The following is a 13,608-nucleotide window of genomic DNA, read 5'->3' as shown; positions in this document are numbered from 1 at the left end:
CCACAGCAGGTGGTCTCAAGTCTGTGTAGCTTCTCACTGGTGTCTTCAGTTAGAGGAAGCCCATCCGATTACTCCTTGGCTTGTTTCTTCTGACTATTTAATGTCTTAGAATGCAAGTGAGAAAGGACAGACTGGAGACCTGGAGTCGGGAAGCTTGGAGTACTGTACCCATGCTGCTGTAGAGCAATAACAGGGAAAGGAGAGAGGACCAGCCTATCTGTGCCCTGGACTTTCACAAAGCAGGTCCAGAAATATGGGAGATTCTCACTGCAACTGTCTGGAGTAAGATATTGGCAAATCACTCAATGCAACCATGTGGAATTCATCCCAAGACTCTAAAAAATGTTCAATATTAGTCAATCTATAAGATGCTATGAAGTACTGCATCATAGAGGTCAAAGGAGAAAGAGGGTATAACTATGCAAAAATGCTGAAAAGACATCAAGAATAAGGCTCAGAAGGACAAAGGGATTGATTGTTAACATACTGATCTGTAGCCATGTCTCCACATAGATGCCTCTAAAGACAATTCAAACCCATGCTGTCTGTAAACACCCTGAGTCTCCTCTCCTTAAAGGCAAGAACAAACCATGAATATCCATGGTTATCTCTCATTTTTATTGCCCTGGAAACACTGGTCACTTAGATTAGACACAAAAAAGAACTCCAATACATGGAATGAAAAAGATAAAATTATCAGTATTTTACAAGATGTAATTATATATTTGAAAATATCCAAATAATTAACTAAAAATACTTAGAAAATGTGATTTTTCAGAATACATTGGACAAAGTCCAGAAAACAACTGCTTAGAAAAACAAGGTGGTTAGTTGGCATGTCAATTTTATAAAACCTCTCAAAAGGATAATTGGCAATGTTGTCCTAAATTTAAAATGAACCACAGTCTGTCTCATTCATTCCCAGTGTGGAAATTTAACATGTAGATATGATCACTTCCCTGCAAAACCAACGTACAAGAATGACTTTGTAAGAGTAAGTCTGGATCTAAGCAAATGTTCATGAACAGAGAGCCAGATGAATAATTAAGAGTTGTTCGTAGAAAGAAATATCATGCATCTGTTAGAAAAAGAATTAAGTCTCTATTTTTGATATTATGGAATTATCTCCAAAATGTAAAATATAAAAAAACTGTAGTAACATAGTATACATATTTTCATTGGTGTCAAAGGAAAAAACATATTTGTATTCGCATAGAAAATTTACTTTTACATAGCAAAATACTATCTTAAAAATGTTGCATGGGCAAAAGTATTTGTATTTGCATACATTATTTCTCAAAAGTTAAGCAAACAAAGAAAAATGAAATAAAACAGAAAAGAGAGCTGATAGAATCAAGCAACTCTGGGGAGAAAACCAGGCACTTTCTTGCCTTAGGGTAGTCTGACTACATTTCATTGTATGTACTTTGGCTTTATTTGATATTTTGAAAATTTTTGTCTACCTAAATAACAAGCAGAGAGAGCCTCCCTAAAAGAAAATGATATTTATTCTGGAGTAGGATATTGCAATGGGAATATGTGTGGCACTGCGAACTGTGTTGTGTGTGTGTGTGTGTGTGTTTGTGTGTGTGTGTGTGTGTGTATTTTGGGAGGTAATAAAAAGGCAAAAGCTTTTCATTTTTAAATTTTATTAATATATTTATTTTATTTGCAGGGGAGGGCATAAACACTATCTCCCACTACACAGATTATGCAGTTGAGTGTCCTACACTTGGGGAAATCATGAGAGTCAGCACAAGGAGCCTCCCTTGGGAAAACACTTTCCTGATCCTGGTGTCTCTCCTGCCAGGTAAGTGTAGACAAATAAAGGGAAAAAAAAGGAGGATTACATAATTGTTTTGAAATAATTGTCCTTGGCTACAAGAATCCACAACTAGGGTGACACCAGTTCGAGGCTGGACAGGCAGTTGCTGGGCAGATGTCCTTGCAGAAATGTTTTGTGTAAGGTTGCAATGGTCTCTGTGCAAGGTTGTGTTTTTTGTGGAGTATTTCATGGTAGTTTCTGTTATCGGACTTTTATGCATGACAACTCTTCCTTCATGCCATTCCCCAGCTCTACGTATCAGGGTGGTTTTTGTTAGTTTGCTTTTTTTTTTTTTTTTTTTTTTTAGCACAGGTGACTCTATTTTAAATCTTACAGCTTTCACATCTTGCACACATACATCTTTATTTTTTATTAAAATAAAACCATTTTTAAAGTCAAACATTAACTATGTAAGTATAAGTTCTTTAACCACATGCTTAAGGACACTGTAGTGCATCTGAACCACAGATTCTAAAATCTGAAATTTGGGCAAGGAGATCATCACTAATTCTATTGGAAAGGAAAAGGGTCCAGGCGCAGTGGCTCACGCCTGTAATCCCAGCACTTTGGAAGGCTGAGGCTGGTGGATCACTTGAGGTTAGGAGTTGGAGATCAGCCTGGCCAACATGGTGAAACCCTGTCTCTATTAAAAACCAAACCAAACCGAACAAACAAACAAACAAAAAAAACAAAGAAAAGAAGGAAAAGGCCAATGTGGCCGCCCAGGTCGCTTGGCCCTTGGCTCATATTGCTGGAAGCTACTTAACAAAGCACAGGAGAGCTGCCTGGCTCACATCTGCTTCTGCTTTCTCTGACAACGGGGGGTTTCCAATGGGAACGTGATGGAATGAGGGAAGAGGGCCTGCAGAGCCGGCAGCTGCACATGCCAGGACAGTGCTCCCAGGGTGGCTGGTTGCCCAGGGGATGTCTGAGCTGCTCACGTGGAGGCACACAGGCTTGAGTGATCTTTGAGACGTGAGATAAGAAGAAAGACACTGGACAATGAAATGGTCAGTGAAACACTACTCTACCTTAACAGACAAAAAACTCCAGCTAAAATCCAGACAAGACTGGAGGAGAAGGTAGGTGAATGTGGAAGCAGATGGAGAAAAATAAAAAAGTAAGTAACACTGTTGACTTGAAGTCCGTTCTGCGAGTTCCTTCCAGATTAGCCTCAGACACAAGGCTGCCCTGCCTGCCTCTCCATCCCCAGGAGGCTGCCTCCCATCAGGGCCATGCTTTGGGTGCTATTTTCAAACCCATGAGCTTCATTTGCAAGGGAGAATGCTGTCATAGCACATCACGTGATTAAAAGCAATTAGTGTTCATAAGCTAGACAGGCATTTAAATTGTTCTATTGTTAACTTGTAGAATGATAAATTACAGAATTAAAGTCCATGTGATTATTCAACTGTGTATGAGACAGCGGTTGTGATCAAAGAGACCACATTGTTAATAACGATACAAAAGCATAATATGATTCACTTTTTCTGAAAGAATCATTGTAATTAACAACAGTATTTTATCACCATTTCTCTCAAACGCATAAATATTTCTGGATTAACTCTGCTAATTGGGAGAACAAATTCTTCACAGGAGTCATAATACACCATAAAGCAGTGTTTTATGTACCAACTTAGGTCTAAGAATGATGAATAGTGTGAGGACGTGCTGGGCTGGATTCCAGCGTCAGTAACTGGAGGGGGCTCACAACACTAAGAACACAGCACACAACCTCCTCCACGTCATTTCACTTGTGGTCTTCAGCCCATGCTTCGTGGGTTTTTATGAGCAGCAATAAAGCAGCCACGAAAGAAAGTCCACTTGCTGTCTACACCTGCATGATCCCACTCTGTACCCAGCCAGACTTCACGGAGGAACCAAGCCGATGTCCTAAGGAATCCACTGCAGGCAACATACTCATGCATCCCCTCTGCGCCTAGGCTGCTCCTGGTGATGTCCCTTCCTTGGTATTATTAAGACAGTGTTCACTCAAATTGTTTCTGTAGGGCCCTATTCATTTGTGGAGCTCCACATGGGAAAGGCTGCTGTAGCTGTTTAACATTCACAGGCCCACAGCCAGTTCAGAAAGCAGGGTCCTCATTGTGGATTCCCTGTTGGTTGGCCTGGTGAATGCAAGTTTTCTGTGTTCAACAATGTAAGACCAAAATGTATGTGTGCCTTCTGACTGTTATTAGTACTTATCTAATTTTTTGGTCTGCTTGACTGATAATTTCTGAGAAGATTTGTTAAAATCTACAGGAGGTAGTAATTTATGTCTACTCCTAATTCTTATGATTATTTTCTTTAAATGTTTTTATAGCATATATTGTAAATGAATACATTCTGATAATTATAGCATCTTCATGCTTTATACCCAGTTGATAATGAACTTCTATTGTGCCTTGATATAATGACATGTCTTCTACTTTTTAAAAGAGTAATATGAGACCTCCAATATTGTCTGGTATATTTTTGCAACATTATTTTCAATGTTTATTTCTTATTTTTAAGTATTCCTCAAATAGATAATGCATAGTTGGATTTTGCTTTTTAATTCAATATGAAAATTTTAATTTTTAAAGTAGTATAATTACAGTTTTATATGTGTTGCTTTTTTTTTTTTTAGACGGAGTCTTGCTCTGTCGCCAGGCTGGAGAGTAGGGGCGTGATCTTGAATCACTGCAACCTCCGCCTCCCGAGGAGGCGATTCTCCTGCCTCAGCCTCCCAAGTAGCTGGGACTACAGGCACATGCCACCATGCCCAGATAATTTTTGTATTTTTAGTAGAGATGGGGTTTCATTATGTTGGCCAGAACGGTTTCAATCTTGTGACCTGGTGATCTGCCTGCCTGACCGTCCCAAAGTGCTGAGATTACAGGCGTGAGCCACTGCGCCCAGGCCATGTGTTGCTATTTTAGTCTTATTAGGTGTTATTTCTTCTTCCTTATTGCAGATACAACACCATATATTATATATATAAAATATATATTTAATATGTAATATATATTATATACTTTTTATATTATATATAATATATATAATTTTATTATATATATAGTATAGTATATATATTACATATATATAATTTTTCCTTGTCTTTTTTTCATAACATACACTCACCCGTATGCTTCTATGTTAAAGTTTACATATTTTGTTCTTAAGTGAATTCCTGCATGCCCTAGGGCCTCTCCTCCTCTCCCTGTCTTCCTATGCTCAAAGGCCAGATTCCCGACATTGGCTTAGAACTGCTTCTGTTCTGCTTGGCTCTGTGAGGTCTTGTCACCAGCCCCCTGGGAAAAGAGAACTAAGGGAACTAGCATTTTCTGAGCATCCTTACTCTGCTGGGGATCATCCTAGGCACTGCAGAAATATTCCCATTTGATGCTCAATTCAGGCCTGCAATGACAGCACAATGGCCCTGTTTCACAAGGTAGGAGACAGCGGCTGGGAGGTGACTGAGTGGTCCAGGTTTACAGAGGAAGTGCCTCTTGTGTGAAGAAGCCCAGGCTGGGACGTCTGGTTTGTGCTGCCTGCAGTGATGTTCCTGAGAATTTCTGTCCCTTGGGGTCAGGGACATCCCAGGTGCCTTTGGATTTCTCCTGTGAGTTAGCAGCCTGGAACAATGGGAAGGACGTGGATAGTTTAGTAATCTGGGACTCTTTGAAATCGAGGGCAGTAAGGATACTTGTCAGAATTTTATAGCAAGTCAGAGAGAACGTTCAGAACCTGAACTTCATTCCTGAAGCAGATGTGAAGTGGGAGACCCCCTGCTTTTGATGTGAGCTTCTGGCCAGGGTCCCCAGGCAACTCACCTCTCCTTTATGGTGCCCCATGGGGGTTTATAAAGGTAATCATATTTGGGAAGTGCTCCTCAAAGTGTGGTCTCTAAACTCATAACAACATCAGCCCCTGAGAGTCTGTCAGAAATGCAAATTCTCAGGTCCCATCCCCAAGCCTACTGACTTAGAATCTCCAGGAAAGGACCAGCAATCTGTGTTTTAATAAGATCCACAGTTAATTCTCAAGCACACTGAAGCCTGAGAAGTGTTCACATCTATGACCTAATTGAACTTATTGTCCAACAAGCCCCACAGGGTGGAGGCACAGAGGTCAGTGTTTATTGTCAAGACAAAGCCATAGAATAAACCACCCCAAAGCTGAGAGGCTTGAAACAAGGAGCAGCCATGAGCTCAGGAGTCTGAGGGTCAGTGATATTGACCAAGAGTTGGGTTTCAATGAGGCACTTCTGGCCTCAAGGGATGACTCATACATGTATGGCCAGCTAATATGCAGGATGGTTGCACCGCAATGACCGGCTCCATGTCCCAAATTCTCATGGGAAGGTGGACAATCTTATCCTCTAACGATGGACCCCAAGTTCTCATGGGGAAGAGAAAGGATCTCGTTCTCCAACCGGCTGACATATATTCTCATGAAGAAGTGGAGAAGCGCCAGAACATGTGGAAACATATCAAGTCTTTGCATCCTATTGGCCAGAAAGTGGATGAGCACAGAAGCAGGAGCTGGGCAATTGTAGGGGGTGAGGAATCGAGGCTATTAACTCAAACAGTCTCGGCAATGAATGTTACAATAATTCCCATTTACAGATGGAAAAACAGAGGCTCAAAGCCACAGAGTAATTTGTGCATGATTGCATGTCCAGGGAATGGCAGAGCTAGCCCCGTAACTGTGCTTCTGAATCTTTTCTAAATTCCATTCTGAGTATGAGAGAACTAACGGTACACAGAAGGCTTCCTATGGTCCATTCTTTTCTTTTTTTCCTTTCCAGGAAGTGGAACTCAGGGCCTCAGCTAAGAGTGTTACCATATCCTGCTGTAGGCTATGAAAGGTTTCAACCAAGAGAGATCTATGAGGGTAGAGCACTTTCCCTAGGAATTTTCTGGGAGTTACTGAAATTATAGCTTTCTGCTGGCCACTCAAAGGGGGAGATCCTCCCACTTCCCTGTGAGAACTTGTGGTCCACCTGTTAGGATAAGATATTCTGACCTTGCCATGAGGACATCTACTTTAAATATCTTCTCCTCTAACATTTGCTCAACCATCTTTAGTTTACAAGTAAATTTGCCTGTGTTTTGTGAAAAAAATGCTATTATCTATGTTTTTATTGTGGTAAAATATACGTAACATAAAATTTTTCAGATTAACCATTTTTAAGATTACTTCTCAGTGGCATTAAGCACATTCACATTGGCGTGTAACCATTGCTATTACTAAACTTTCTAGTCTTCCAAAACCAAAGCTCTGCTCTCATTAAACAACAACCCATTCTTGCCTCCCTGAGCCCCTGCTAACCACCATTCTACTTTCTGTCTGTATGAGTTTGACTGTTCTAAGTACCTCCTATAAGTGGAAAAATACGATATTTGTCTTTGTGTCTGGCTTACTTCACTTAGCATAATGCCTTACAGATCATCCATCTTGCAGCGTATATCAGAAATTTATTCCTTTTTGGGGCTGTATAATAATCTGTTATACATATATTCCACATTTAGTTTATCCATTCATCCATAAATGGGCATCCAGGTTGTTTCCACCTTTGGGTTCTTATGAATAATGCTACTATGAACATGGGCATACAGATATGTGGTCAAGACCCTGCTTTTGTGTATTCTATTGTGTAATTGTATGTATACAGTTCTTTTACGTATAGACCTAGAAGTGGACTTGCTGAATACTATGGTAATTCTGTTTAATTTTTAAAGGTAAAATATACTGTTTCCACAGTGGCTGCACCATTTTACATTCACACCGGCAATGAATAAAAGTTCTAGCATCTTCACATTCTTACCAACGGTTATTACTTTTTATTCTTTGATCTCACATGGTGGTTTGAGTTTAGATTTCTCTAATGATTAGAGATAGTAGCCATCTTTTCATGTACTTATTGATCATCTGTATAATCTTTGGAGAAATATTATTTAATTCCTTTGCCAATTTTTAAATTGTGTTGTTTGTTTTTGTTGTTGATACGTAGAGTATTTTCATTTATTCTGGACATTAATACCTTAACAGATATAGGATTTACAAATAACATCTCCCATTCCGTGTGCTGCTTTTTTACTCTGTTAATAGTGTGTATTGATGCATGAAATATTTAACATTTGATGAAGTCCAGTTTATCAATTTTTTATTTCATTGATTGTGCTTTTGGTGTCACACCAAATAAATCATTGTTGAATTTAATGTCATAAAGATTTTCTCCTAAGTTTTCATTCTAAGAGTTTTATAGATTCATCTCCTACATTTAAGTCTTTGATCCATTTCAGCTAACTTTTGTGTATGTCATAAATTAAGGCTCCAACTTCTTTCCTTTGCAGGTGGATATCCCATTTATTTTAGCAATTTTTGTTGAAAAGACTGTCCTTTCTCCATTGAATAGTTGTGCAACCTCGTAAAAAATCATTTGACCATACATTCAAGGGTTTATTTTTGAGCTCTCTAGTCGATTCCATTCATCTATAGGTCTGTTTTCATACTAGTACTACCCCTTGGGAGTATTTTTCTGCAAAAGATGTCCCTGGAATTTTGATAGGAATTGCATTGAATCTGTAGATTGGGTAGTATTAACATTTTAACAATATTGAGTCTTCTAATTCTTGAACACGGAATGTCTTTTCATTTGTTTGTGTCTTCTTTAATTTCTTTCAGCAACATTTAGTTGTTTTCAGTGTACAAGTTCTTTGCCTCCTTGTGTTTAATCCTAAGTATTTTATTATTTTCAATATTATTGTGGATGCAATTGTTTTCTTAATTTCACTTTTGGATTGTTCACTGGTAGTGCATAGAAACATAACTGAATTTTGTATGTTGATTTTATATAAAGTTGTGCTACTACATTTTTGCTAAATTGATTTATTAGTTCTAACATTTTTCTGTGGAATATTTACAGTTTTCTACATATGCAATTAGGTAGTCTGCAACAGAAACAGTTGTACTTCCTTTCACATTTAGATGCCATTTATTTATTTTCCTTGCCTAAAACTTTCAATACTATATTAAATAGAAGTGGCGATAGCAGGCAACCTTATCTCCTTCCTGATATTCGAGTAAAATATTACAGTCTTTCACTAGTGAGTGTGATGTTAGTGTGGGCTTTTCATATATAGTATTTGTTATGTTGAGTTAGTTTTCTTCCATTTCTAGTTTTTATAGTTTTTTTCATCATAAAAGTGTGTTGAATTTTGTTAAACATTTTTTCTGTACCAGTTGTGATATCATGTGGGCTTATTTCTTCAGTCTCATAATATAGTATATTATATTAATTAAATTGTACATATCGAACCATTCTTGCATTCATTCCAGGAATACATCCCACTTGGTCATGGTGTATAATATTTTTTGAAAAAAAGACTACATTTCAGAGAAGTTTGGATTCACAGCAAAATTGAGCAGAAGATCCAGAGATTTCCCATAGACCTTCTGTCCCCTTTCCCCCTTATCAAGATTCTGAACCAGAGTGTTACATTTGTCATAATTGATGAGCCTGCATTGACAAATCATTATCACCCAAAGCCCATAGTTTACATTAAGGTTCACCCTTGGTGTTGTACATTTTATGGGTTTGATCACATTTATAGTGACATATATCCACCATTACAATATCACACAGACTATTTTCACTGCCCTAGATATTCCCTAGTATCAGCTTATTCACCCATTTCTCCCCTGTAATCCCTGGCAACCACTGATCTTTTTACTGTTTTCATAGTTTTGCCTTTTCCAGAATGTCACATAGTTGGAATCATATAGTATGTAGCCTTTTCAGATTGGCTTCTGTCACTTAGGAATATGCATTTAGGGTTCTTCCACATCTTTTCATGACTTGATACCTCATTTCTTTTTGGAGTTTAATAATATTCTATTGTCTGAATGTACCAAAGTTTATTTATCCCTTAACCTACTGAAAGACATGTTGGTTGTTTCCACGTTTTGGTAATTGTCGATAAAGCTACTATAAACATCCATGTATAGGTCTTTGTGTGAACCTGTGCAAGTTTTCATACCATTGGGTAAATACCAAGGAGCATGACTGACTATATGGTGAGAAGAATATGTATAATTTTGTAAGAAACAGCCAAACTATCTTTCAAAGTGGCTTCAGACCAGCAATGAATGAGAGTTCCTGTTGCTCTGCTTCCTCACCAGGATTTAGTGTTGTCCATGTTTAGATTTTGGTCATTCTAGTAGGTGTGTAATGGTACCTCATTGTTGTTTTAATTTGCATTCTCTGATAACATATGATATGCAGCATCGTTTCATGTGCTTATTTACCATCTGTGTATCCTCTTTGGTGATGTATCTGTTCAGGTGTTTTGTCTGTTTTTTAAATGGGTTGTCTGTTTCCTTATTATTGCATTTATAGAGTTCTTTGTATATTTTGGATAGCAGTCCCTTATCAGATGTGTCTTTTGCTTATATTTTCTCTCAATCTGTGGGTTGTCTTTTGTTTTGTTTTGTTTTGTTTTGTTTTGTTTTGTTTTGAGATAGAGTCTCACTTTGTCACCTGGGCTGGAGTGCAGTGGCACGATCTCGGCTCACTGCAACCTCCGGCTACCACGTTCGAGCTATTCTCGTGCCTCAGCCTCCTGAGTAGCTGGGATTACAGGTGCATGCCACCAGGCCCAGCTAATTTTTGTATTTTTAGTAGAGACGGGGTTTCATCATGTTGGCCAGGCGGGTCCTGAACTCCTGACTTCACGATTCGCCCACCTCGGCCTCCCAAAGTGCTGGGATTACAGGTGTGAGCCACCACGCCCCGCCCTGTGGTCTGTTCTTTCACCAACACCACACTTTCCTCTGATTATTTTAGCTTTGTAGTCAGTCATGAAGTCAGACATACCAGTCCTCTAATCTTTCTCCTTCAATATTGTGTTGGTTATTCTGTGTCATAACTTGGTGAGTTTTTTTTTTTAATTGGGATTGCATTGAATCTATAGATCACCCTGGGAATAACTGACATCTTAAAAATATAGAGTCTTCTATCCATGAGCATGCAATATCTCTCTATATATTTAGTTCTTCTTTGGGTTCTTTCATCAGAATTTTATAGATTCCCTCAAATAGACCTTGTACATATTTTGACAGATTTATCCCTAAATGTTTCATTTTCTGAGTGAAAGTGTGCTTTCAATTTCAAATTCCACTGGTTCATTAGTGGTATATGGGAAAGTGGTTGTATATCCTAACCTTGTGTCCTGCAACCTTGATAGAATCACTTACTAGTTCCAGAAGCTCCTGATCTTAGTGGGAAAGTTTCTAGTTTATCAGCATTAAGTGTGATGTTAGTTGTAGGTCTTATGTAGATATTCTTTATTCAATTGATGGAGTTGTCATCTATTCCTAGTTTAATGAGAGTTTTTATCATGAATGGATGTTGGACTTTGTCGTGTTTTTTCTCTAATGATGTAATCATGGGATTTTTTCTTGTTTAACTTGTTGATGTGATGGATTACATTCATTGATTTTTAAATGTTGAAACAAACTTTGATATTGAGATAAATCTCACTTACTTACGCTGTAGAATTCTTTTTAAACATTGTTGGATTAAATTTACTAATAGTTTATCAAGGTTTTGCTTCTATGGTTATGCGATGTTGGTCTGTAGCTCTCTTTTCTTGTAATGTCTTTTGGTATTAATGTAATGCTGGTCTCATAGAATGAGTTAGGAAGTATTGTCACTGCTTTGATCTCGAAGAGATTGTAGAGAATTGGTATACTTTCTTCCTTAAATGTTTGGTAAAATTCACCAGTGAACCCATCTGGGCCTGGTGCTTTCTGCTTTCGAAGGTTATTAATTACTGATTTCATTTCATTAATAGATACAGCCTATTTAGATTGTCTATTTGTTCTTATTTGAGTTTTTGCAGTTTATGTCTTGCAAGGAATTGATCCATTTCATCTAAGTTATCAACTTCCTAGGCATAAAGTTGTTCATAGTATTCTTTTTCAAAATCTTTTTAATGCCAGTGGGATTTATAGTGATGGCTCCTCCTTCATTTCACATATAGAAATTTGTATCCTTTCTTGTTTTTTATTTGTTTGCCTCACTGATGTTATTGATCTCAAAGACACTGTTTTGAGTTGTATTGATGTTCTCTGTTGAATTTCTGTTTTCAATTTCCTTGATTTCTGCTCTAATATTTACAATTTTCAGTATGTCTTCTTAGTTTGGGTTTAGTTTTATCTCTCTCTTTTTTTTTTTCTCATTTCCAAAGAGGGAAGCATAGGTGATTGATTTTAGGTCTTTCTTCTTTTCTGATATATGCATTCAACACTATAAATTTCCCCTAAGCACTGCTTTCACTGCATCACACGAATTTCAATAAGTTGTGTTTTCATTTTATTTTAAAATATCTTTCATTTTCTTTTGAGATTTCTTCTATGACACACGTATTTAGAAGTATGTTCTTCAATCTGCAAATATTTTGAGATTTTCTAACTATCTTCCCATTTTTGTTTTCCAGTGCAATTCCTTTTTGGTGTGAGAGCAGAGATGACATGATTTCTATTCTGATTTTGTGAAGGCATATTTTATGGCCTAGAATGTGGTCTAGCTTGGTGAGTGTTTCATGTGGGCTTCAGAAGGACATGCATTCTGTTGTTGGATGAAATAGTCTATATGCAGTTGGATGAAGCAGTATTATATCCAGTTGACTCATGGTGCTGTGGAGCTCAACTATGCCTTTAGTGCATTTCTTCCTAAAGATTCTATCCATTTCTCACAGTAGTATTGAAGTCTGCAACTCTAAAAGTGGATTCATCTTTTCCTTCTTGGAGTTATGTCAGTTTTTGCCTCATGTGTCTTGACATTCTGTTGTTAAATGCACACATGTTAAGGATTATTATTTCTTAGAGAATTCATTGACACCGTTATTCTTTAGTAATGCCTCTCTTTATTCATGATAAGTTTTACTCTGAAATCTGCTCTGAAATTAATATAACTGATTGCACTTTTTCTTATTAGTGTTAGTATGGCATATTTTTCTTTACCTATTTGCTTTATGTGTCTTTAAATTTAAAGTACGTTTCTTGTAGAAAGTAGTTGGGTCTTGTTTTTTTATTCACTCTGACAATCTATGTGTTTTACCTGGTGCACTTAAGCCACTGATATTCAAAATGATTGCTGACATAGTTGGATTACTATGTGTCATATTTATTACTGTTTTCTATTTGTTGACTTTTTAATTTTTTTCCAATTTTTGCCCTCCACTCTTTTTTTTTTTTGCCTTTTGTGGTTTTAACTATTTGATTTTTTCCATTTTGCCTCCTATCTTAGTATACAAGTTGTACTTTTTTAGTGGTTGCTGTAGAGTTTGCAGTTTACAAAAACTACAAATCCACTCTCAAATAAGATCATAGTACTTCATAGACAATGTAGGCACCTTATAATAACAAAATAATCCTAATTCCTTTCTCCCATCCCTTTCTTTGTATCTTTCCAGTTGTTCATTTTTCTTATAAACACGCACAATCAAATACTTGGCTGATACTTGAACAGTTATCTGTTAGACCTGTTAAATCAAGTTTAGCCTAAAGTTGCCTCCCTGTGTATTTTAAGTTTGGTCTAAGAGTTTATCTGTACATCGTGAACTATAACAAGTGGAGTTGTAAACAGACCATAGCCTACACTCGTGCCAGTCACCCAGTTTTCACCAATCAAATGTAGCTAACTGTTTGAACCATGTTCAAATAAGGCAAACACCAAGCTGTAACCAATCCAGCTGTTCCTGTGTCTCACTTCCATTTTCTGTGTGTCACTT

At 37.4% G+C, this 13,608-nt stretch overlaps 1 pseudogene; it reads right to left on the bottom strand.

Annotated features, from left to right (window-relative positions):
• On the bottom strand, nt 1,675–1,818 carry RNU1-23P (RNA, U1 small nuclear 23, pseudogene; annotated as a pseudogene).

This window comes from Homo sapiens, chromosome 20 (genome assembly GCF_000001405.40).
Source record: "Homo sapiens chromosome 20, GRCh38.p14 Primary Assembly".
NCBI classification, from domain to species: domain Eukaryota; kingdom Metazoa; phylum Chordata; class Mammalia; order Primates; family Hominidae; genus Homo; species Homo sapiens.
Note: the sequence above shows the minus strand (reverse complement) of the source record. Positions and strands in the feature narration are given on the sequence as shown.